Source organism: Homo sapiens, chromosome 1 (genome assembly GCF_000001405.40).
Source record: "Homo sapiens chromosome 1, GRCh38.p14 Primary Assembly".
In the NCBI taxonomy this organism is placed as follows: Eukaryota; Metazoa; Chordata; class Mammalia; order Primates; family Hominidae; genus Homo; species Homo sapiens.
In genome coordinates, this window is record NC_000001.11 from 229,896,405 (window position 1) to 229,905,583 (window position 9,179).

Sequence of the window (9,179 nt, forward strand, 5' to 3'; positions counted from 1 at the left end):
TAAATATAGCAGTATCAGTAGTATGTTTGGACTGAACAGATTGTGGGGTTGATGAGATGAATAAATGGTATGCAAGTGCAGGCAAGATAAATGTTGACAACTCATCTAGGAAATGCAAGAGTGAAGGACTGTGAGTAATTTGAATGCTAACGTCTCCAAGGAGGGAGATGTTACTTATCCAGCGTTGATCTAGCAATGATTTAGGGAGCACTGTCTTACAGGCCACAGCCCAGGGATGTCACCTAAGGTTTTTCTAGGTTAGCAAGGAGCACAGGCTTGGAACTCTTCATCACAACACACACTGTGCTATAAATGTTATACTGTAGTAGAGTCATATTCATATTTATATTAAATGTTTTTAGGACATAGACCTCTTTAAGAACCTGATAAAGCTATCCGTTGTTTTCTCCTTAGATAAAAACATACAGATGCTCATATACGAAAATCCACACAACATTTTAGGAATTCACAAATCCTTGAGGCCAGCGAGTGGATCCCTGGGGCTCTCTGTGGAAAAGATTTTCAAAAAAGTATTGTGGGAAGAGGCAAATAAGTAGCAGATCTGTCCTTGGAGAAGGAGGAAGCCTCTGGAGAAGGGGGCGGCTGAGCTGGGCCTTGGAAGATGAGCAAAACTTCCTTTCTTGACCCCAGCGTGGGCAGGGCAGGACATAGCGCGCTGAGCCTGTGGACAGGACCTGGGGGATGAGAGCTGTTGAGTCTAACTGACTGCAGTCCCTGAGTTTGCACTTTCACTGATGGCTTTAGGCTGAGAGTGGGCTGGGCTCCCTAAGATGGTGTGGTTAAGTGACCTGAGGAGGGCTGGGCTCCAGCCAGCATCACTGAAGAAGAGTCACCATGGAAGTAAATGGTTTTCATAACCTGGCCAGATCTCTCAACGAGAAAGGGCCCTGGGTAGGACCGAGGTAGATGTGTCTCTCCATGGGAGGGGTCCCTGCTGTGGGACCACATCTGTTTTGATTTGACTCTCAGGACATGGATTTATTTCGCAGATGTGGCCTTTTGGTGGGTTCAGCATTTTACTCCCCTGGCAGTCACTGATTTAGAGAGGCTCAGCCGACTCTCTGTGTTTGTTTGGCTTTGAGGAATGGAAAACGTGGTTCTTTTTAACATCTCTCCCTTCAGCAGGTGGTCTGGGGGTGGAGGCAGGAATGGCCACAGCCTCACAAATAGCTGCTGGTCTTTTCCCATCTTTGTTCCTCTTTCTCGTTACTCCACTGACAGCCACAGTCCCCTGAGGAGGAGTGAGAACGTTAGAACAATTGAGTTTCTCTGCTCCAGGCCTGTCGGCATCCAATAAGCCAAGAACTCGACAACTCCGCCTGGTTCTACTTCAGCTGCTGCAAAAGGAGCTGCTGGCAGCGAGGACTACTGGGGCAGAGCTATTCAAGTGAAAGATTTAAATCAGCTGGCAGATACTACTTTCTCCTTTCAGCAAGCAAATTCTATGTGTGTGTGCGCACATGTGCCCATACACTCCTTATAATTTGACTTCTGATCTTCCTATTTTAAATAAGAAGATTCAGGAATTTTCTGATATGTGACATTAAAAAATGATCACAGAAATCATACCCACATTGCCATTGCACTTTACAATTTTTAAAGTACTTTTATAGCTGTGACTTCATAATGGCCATGTAAAACAAGCAAAGTCGGCATTATAATAACCCAATTTTAGAGATAAGCAAACTGAGATTCCTGGATGTAATTTGTCACTATAATATGACCTATAAAAACCCAACATATACTATTCCAAAGCTATTTTTATGTCATCTAAGTCATGCAGTTTGAGGAAAGAGTTCATCTTTGCCTATCCAAGTTGAGGTGCTTTATCTTCAAAATCAGGAAGTCCCTTACTATAGAAACTGTCATTGATTTTCAACTGTTCTGAAATAGAAGCTGAGGTCAAACTGCATCCCCAGATTAATCAAGTAAAGAATATTAGTAGCTAATATTTATTTTGAGCTTTTACTATATGCTAGATACTAGTTAATTAACATACTCATTTGATCCTCATAGCAACCCTGTTTTATATGTTTTACTAATGAAAGAAAGCTACAAAAAGTTTAAGTAATTTGCCCAAGGACACACAGAATCCATATTTAAAACCAAGGAGTTTGAGTTCAGAGTCTAAGAGAGCTCAGTAGTTGGGTTGATCAGACAAACCAATAATTCAGAATAGTGGGACTAAGAATGATCTATCCTGTACTTAGGGGCCAGGCATGGTGGCTATCATCTGTAATCTGAGGCTGAGGCTTGAGGATGACTTGAAGCCAGGAGTTTGCCATCAGCTTAGGCAAAGACAGCGAGACTCCATTTCAGCAAAAAATTTAAAAAATTAGCCAGCCATGGTGGCATGTGCCTGTAGTCTCAGCTACTTAGGCGGCTGAGGCAGGTGGATTGCTTCAGCCCAAGAGTTCAAGGCTGCAGTAAGCTATGATTGTGCCACTGCACTCCAGCCTGGGTGACAGTGCAAAACCCTCTCTTTAAAAAAAAAAAGTCTGTTCTACTCAAGTCTTGTAGACTAATAAAAGGTTTGATTCCCACAAAGTTAAAACAATTTTAAATCTGGACATACCAAATAGCTTCAAAGTGTACAAAGTAAAATTTGACTGAACTCACCACAAAACAATAGACAAATTCACAATTATAATGGAAGATTTTAATTTTCAGCTCTCTCAGTGATTGGCAGAAAAAAAAATTAGTAAAGAGATAGAAGTGGCCAAAACAAGGAATAAACTTAACCAAATTAATATGTGTATATGTGTACATACATAAAGCAGTCTACTCAATAGCAACTGTGTATAACAATATTTTTTAAAATACAAAAATTTACCATGTGCTAGATTTTTCATACTTTAGGTGTGAACAAATTTTAAAGGACTGAAATAATACAGGGTATGTTTTTTGATGACAAGCTAATTAAGCTATAAATAAATAACAGAAAAGTTAAATAGAAAATTCTCATTAGTTTGGAAATAAATAAATATACTTCTAAATATTCTATGGGTCAAAGAAGAAATCACAATGGAAATATGTGAATTGGATGACATTACATATAGAAGCTAATGAAATGTACTTAAACCATGCATGGAAGGAAAGAGTAGCTATAAATGCATATATTATAAAAGATAATGTTGAAAATTAATAAGCTGATATCACCAGAAGTTATAACATAAACAGCAAATTAAATCCAAGGAAATTAGAAAAATTGAATATTTAGATGAGAAAAAAATAAAAATACAAAAAATATGTATAAAATAGAGAAACTCACCAAAGGCAAGAGTTCATTCTTTGAAAAGTCTAATAAAATTTAACAAGTTAAAAAAAAACCAATATCAAAAATAAAAAAGGCAACATTACTGCTGATTCTGTTATTAAAAATTAAAAGATAACGTTAGAATATTATGAACAGCTTTATGCCAAAAGTTAAAAATTTACAGGAAATGAACAAATTAATGAAAAATAAAACTTACCAAAGATGAAGAAGACAATTTTAATGTTCCTGTATCTACTAAAGAAATAGATTTTTTGAATGAAAAGCCTTCCACCTTCCCTAGGAGATCTATTTCTATTCAGTTTGTAGAAAGCCACAAGAGAATGTCACTCCTACCATAACAATGAGAAAAAGGCAGGTAAATCTGCAAAATGATAACTTTTTTGAGCCCATCAAAGAGCTGAGTTTTCCAGGAAAAGAGGTAGAATGAATTCCGAAGAGTGATGAGCCCCTTTAAGGAGAGATAGTTCGAACAAACGGTTTCACCTTCAGCAGAATCCAAAAGCTGCCATCATAAAAGTGGATGAGAAGAAAGCAGAAACTTTTAACAAATTCATAAAGGCCAAGTGTAGACTATCATGACAGTTCAGAATATTCTGGAGTTCCACACTCAATGGGAAGTCTGTACTCAAGCTCTTATCCATGAGTCTCCACTGGATACACACAAGAAATATAGGGGGCAGGGCAGAAAACTAGAGACAGCCACATTTAGTGGTGCAGGCATGCCAGAAGTAATCAGCTGCCACTGGGGGGCAGAAACAAAACCCTGTCCATTTCCCAGATCTTCGTCTCATAAGAGGTATAAGCCTTAAGTTGCTAGAAGAGGAAACCCTCCCATTTCTGGAGAACAGGCAGAGATTCACCACTTGCTGGGGAGGGGTAGAAGCACACCTATCTGCCTCTGGAGGAAGAGTAGAAAACTCTCATAGCACTTGCTCCGAAAGACCCAACCAGATGCAACGCACAGTTTGGCTGTCCTGAGGAGGGGTAGGTAGAATGGTAACAATGAGACACTTCCATTCCCAAGAGGTGGGGTAGGTAGAATGGTAACAATGAGACACTTCCATTCCCAAGAGGTGGGGTGGGTAGAATGGTAACAATGAGACACTTCCATTCCCAAGAGGTGGGGTAGGTAGAATGGTAACAATGAGACACTTCCATTCCCAAGAGGTGGGGTAGGTAGAATGGTAACAATGAGACACTTCCATTCCCAAGAGGTGGGGTGGGTAGAATGGTAACAATGAGACACTTCCATTCCCAAGAGGTGGGGTAGGTAGAATGGTAACAATGAGACACTTCCATTCCCAAGAGGTGGGGTAGGTAGAATGGTAACAATGAGACACTTCCATTCCCAAGAGGTGGGGTAGGTAGAATGGTAACAATGAGACACTTCCATTCCCAAGGTGATCCAAATGCACAGGGCCTGCTAAAGACAGAAGCTGGTTGAGGAGAATCAAGAACACCCCCTGCCTCCACCATGAGCCTCATACCAAGTAACACACAAGGTCAGTCTACTACTGGGGAAGAAGCAAGAAAAAGACCCTTCTGTGGTCACTGAAAGCTAAGAGAGAAACAAGAACATTTGGAAAAATCCACTAGCACCATAGATACCACAATATGAAGAAAACCACCAGCTCTTCACTGGAGGAGATAGAAGTCTGGGTGCCCCTAAGGTGACTATAGCAAGCAACAACCTAGTTGAACAACTGACTAGATTAACTGACATACACACACACACACACACACACACACACACACACACACACACACATGCTGATGGACTGACAGGAAAAGAAGTGATCCATTTTCAGGGATAAATATTATTTATCTTTGTTTCTACTGTTTTTCTTAAAATATTCTTCATTTGATGAATAGCTATAAAATACACAAAAGCTAAACACATGAACAAATAAAAAGACTTCATTGTTAAGAGATAAATCAATCAACAGAAACAGACTAAGAAATGACCCAAATGTTAAAGAATTATCAGATAGGACTTTATCATAGCTATAACTGATAAAAGATCTGTTGGGAAACGTGGACAACTTGCATGAACAGATGGGAAATTTTAGCAGAGAGGTGGAAATGATTTTCAAAAAATCAAGTGGAAATGCTAGAAATGTTTAAAAGAAACCCATGTTATCAAAGATGAATTCCTTTTACATACTTAAAGGGAAGGTGGACATCATTGTTGAGGAAAGAACTGTGAACTTGAAGATAGGTCAATGATTAAAACAGGACAAAAAGAAAAAAAAAGAATTAAAAAACCCAAAACAGTAAGAGCTGTGAGACAGTTATCAAATGGAATAAAAATACATCATTAGAATTCTAGAAGGAGAGGAGATAGAGAAACAGATATAAGAAGTAGCTGAAGAGATAATGACTGAGAATTTTTAAAAACTAATAAAAAATGACAAAGCAAAGATACACAAAATTCAAAGCATCTCAAGGAGGATGTCACACATGCACACACATACACACAGTATAGTCAAACTTCTGAAAACCAAAGATATAGGGAAAATCTTGAAAGCAGTCAAAGGAAAAAGCAACATTAAATGCAGTCGAACAAAGATGTGAATATCAAGCAGACTTTGGTCAGAAAGTAGACAAACCAGAAGACAATGCAGCTACTTCTTTAAGGTACTAAAAGAAAAAAGTCAACTTAGAACTCTATATCCAGTGAATACGTCTTTGAAAAATGAAGGCAGAATAAAAATTTTTTTCAGACAAAAAAGCTAATAGAACTCATTGCCTGGAGACTTGGACAATAAGAACTATTAAGGGAAGTCCTTGAGGCAGCAGAAACATACCAGATGGAAATGAAGAGCTCTAGCAATACACAAAGAAATGTCGAGCTTTAGAAATAGTAAAAATAAAGGTAAATATAAAACAGTTTTTCTTACTTTGTATTATTTTATAAGAAATACATTTTGAAAATAAAATATTCTGTCTGAAGCAAAATAGTAACAGTGAATTTTGGAGTTTATAACATATGCAATAGTATGACAAAAACAGCTTAAAGTATGGGAGGCAGAAAATAGAACTATAATGTTACCAGGTTCTTATGCTATATCCAAAGTATCCTACTATTATTTGAAGTAGGCTTTGATAAGTTAATGTAAATATGGCAATCCCTAGAGTAAGAACTAAATAAATTAGAAAAGAGGTATAACTAATAAGCCAATGGTAAATATAAAGTGGAATTATGCAATATAATTTCAAGCCAATGGTAAATATAAAGTGGAATTATGCAATATAATTTAAAGACAAAATAGGAAAACAGAAAAAAAAGAATTAAAACAGGACAGTATAAACAAGACAGTTGATTTAAATCCAACCATATCAATAATTACATTAAATGTAGATTGACTTAATGCCCCAAATTAAAAGGCAGAGATTGTCCAATTGAATACAGAAAAACAAAATCCAATGATATACTCTCTACAAGAAACCAGTTAAATAGAAAGGAATATGTAGGCTAAAAGCAAAAGGATGGGAAAAGATATGCCATGAAAACTCTGATAAAAAAAAAAAAGTAGAAGTGGCTATACTAGTATTAGAAAAATTAGATTTTAGAACAATGAATATTACCATGGCTAGAAAGAGACATTACATAATAATATTATATGTTTATCAGAAAGACATAATCCTGGGTATGTACATAAAAACAGAACTTGAAAAACATGAAGAAAAACCTGACAGAAGTGAAAATCATATTTGGAGACTCTAATACTCCTCTCTACATAATTAAAAGAACAAGTAAACATAAAGTTAATAAGGATATAGCAAAGCTGAACAAGACTATCAACAGTTTGAGCTAAGTGACATTTACCGAATGCTCCTTCTGACAATAGCAGAATACAAATTCTTTTCAAGTATGCGTGGAACACTCATTAAGATGAATTATATTCTGTGTCATGGAATAAATCTTATGCATTCAAAATTATAGAAATCTAATGAATTATCTTCTTTGACAAGAACAGAATTAAATGAGAAATCATAATAAAAATCCTGAAAATATATCTGAAAATCCCTACATATTTGGCAATTAAACAACACATTTCAGAATAACACATGAGTCAAAGGGGCACTCAAATGGGGAAATAAGGAAAAAATTTGAGTTGAACAAAAATGAAGACAAAACATATCAAAACTTGTGGGACACAGATAAAGCCACACTAAAAGGGAAATCTATAGCATTAAATAGTTACATTTGAACAAAGCTTTCAAATCAATGATCTAATCGTCTACCTTAAGAAACTTGAAAATGAAGAGCAAATTACCCAAGCAAACAGAAGGAAGGAAATATGAAAAGAAGAAATAAATGAATTTCAAAACAGACAACTAATAGTGAAAATCAGTGAAACCAAACTTGATTATTTAAAAAAATAATAATATTGCTAAATCTTTAGACAGACTTATCAAGAACAAAAAATGTATATGTAGAGAGAGGACACAAATTACCAATATCAAAGCAAATCCAATGAAAATCCTAGCAGAAGTTTTTTCTTTGGTAGAAATTAACAAGATGATTATAAAATATATTTGGAATACAGAAGTTTTGAAAAAGAACAAAGTTAGGGGACCCTCATATCTGATTTCAATTTTTACTATGAAGCTATAGTAATCAAGAGAGTGTGATTTTGGAATAAAGATAGACATATCGGTCAACGTAAATGAACAGGGTGTCTAGAAATAGATCCATACATATATAGTCCATTGAATTTTGACAAGGCATCAGGGTAATTAAATGGAAAAACATGTCTTTTTGACATACTTTAAAAAAATGAACATTTACCTCACAACATATACAAAAATTAATTCAAAATCATAGACTTAAATGGAAAAGCTAAAGCTATAAAATTTCTAGAAGAAAATATAGGAAAACAATTATGACATTGGGTTAGGCAACATATTTTTAGATAAAACACTAAGAGCATGAACCATAAAAAAGAAAATTGGTAAATTAGACTTCAAAATGTTAAAATGTTTGCTCTTTAAAAGGCATGGTTAAGAAAATGAAAAGATAAGCCATAGACTGGGAGGAAATATTTGCATAATGCATATCTGATAAAGGACTGTATTCAAAATAAATAAACAACTCAATTCAATTATAAGAAAGCAATTCCATTTAAAAAAAAAGGCAAAAAATGTGAATAGATATTTTACCAGAGAAGAAATATGTGTAACCAATTTGCATATGAAAAGATGCTCATCATTATACCTCGCTAGAAAAATGCATATTAAAATCCCCAAACTAAAATGGCAGTTAAAAAAAAACAAACACAATACCGAGTGTTGGTACCGGATGCAGAGCACCAGGAACTTTCATACATTGCTGGTGAGAATGCAAAATAGCATAGCCACTTTGGAGAAACGTTTGGCCATGTTTTATAAAATTAAACATACCCTGCCCAAATGATGCAACAATCCCATTCCTAGGTATTTGCGACTGCTAGCTGCTTGCTCCTAGGCATGTCCACGTAAGGATCTGCACATGAATGTTTGTAGTCACCTTTTTATAGTAGACAAACCAGGAGCAGCCCAAAAGTCCATGTCCTGCTGAATGGACAAACAAATTGAATACATTCATTTACTTGACTATTACTCAGCAATAAAATAAACTACTGACACATGCGACAGCTGGACGAATCCCATAAGTATTATGCTCAGTGAAAGAAGCCGAACTCAAAAGGCTACAAACTATGATTCTGTGGATATGGCATTCTAGAAACGGCAAAATGGCAAGGACAGAAAACAGCAGCAATTGCCAGACTCTGCTATTAAAGGAAGAGAATTGACTAAATAAAAACATAGGGGACTTTCTGGGCAGTTGGAAATGTTCTAGATACTGATTCACAACTGTATACATTTGTCAAAACTC

General features: G+C 36.0%; 1 long non-coding RNA gene across 1 annotated transcript; it reads right to left on the bottom strand.

Annotated features, from left to right (window-relative positions):
* Nucleotides 1-315: 315 nt before the first annotated feature.
* LOC105373163 (uncharacterized) lies at nucleotides 316-4,276 on the bottom strand. The gene is made up of 2 exons (XR_949257.3): nucleotides 3,495-4,276; nucleotides 316-1,252 (listed from the first exon to the last, which is right to left on the bottom strand). It is a non-coding gene; the product is annotated as an uncharacterized LOC105373163 (long non-coding RNA).
* Between the last annotated feature and the right edge of the window lie 4,903 nt (nucleotides 4,277-9,179).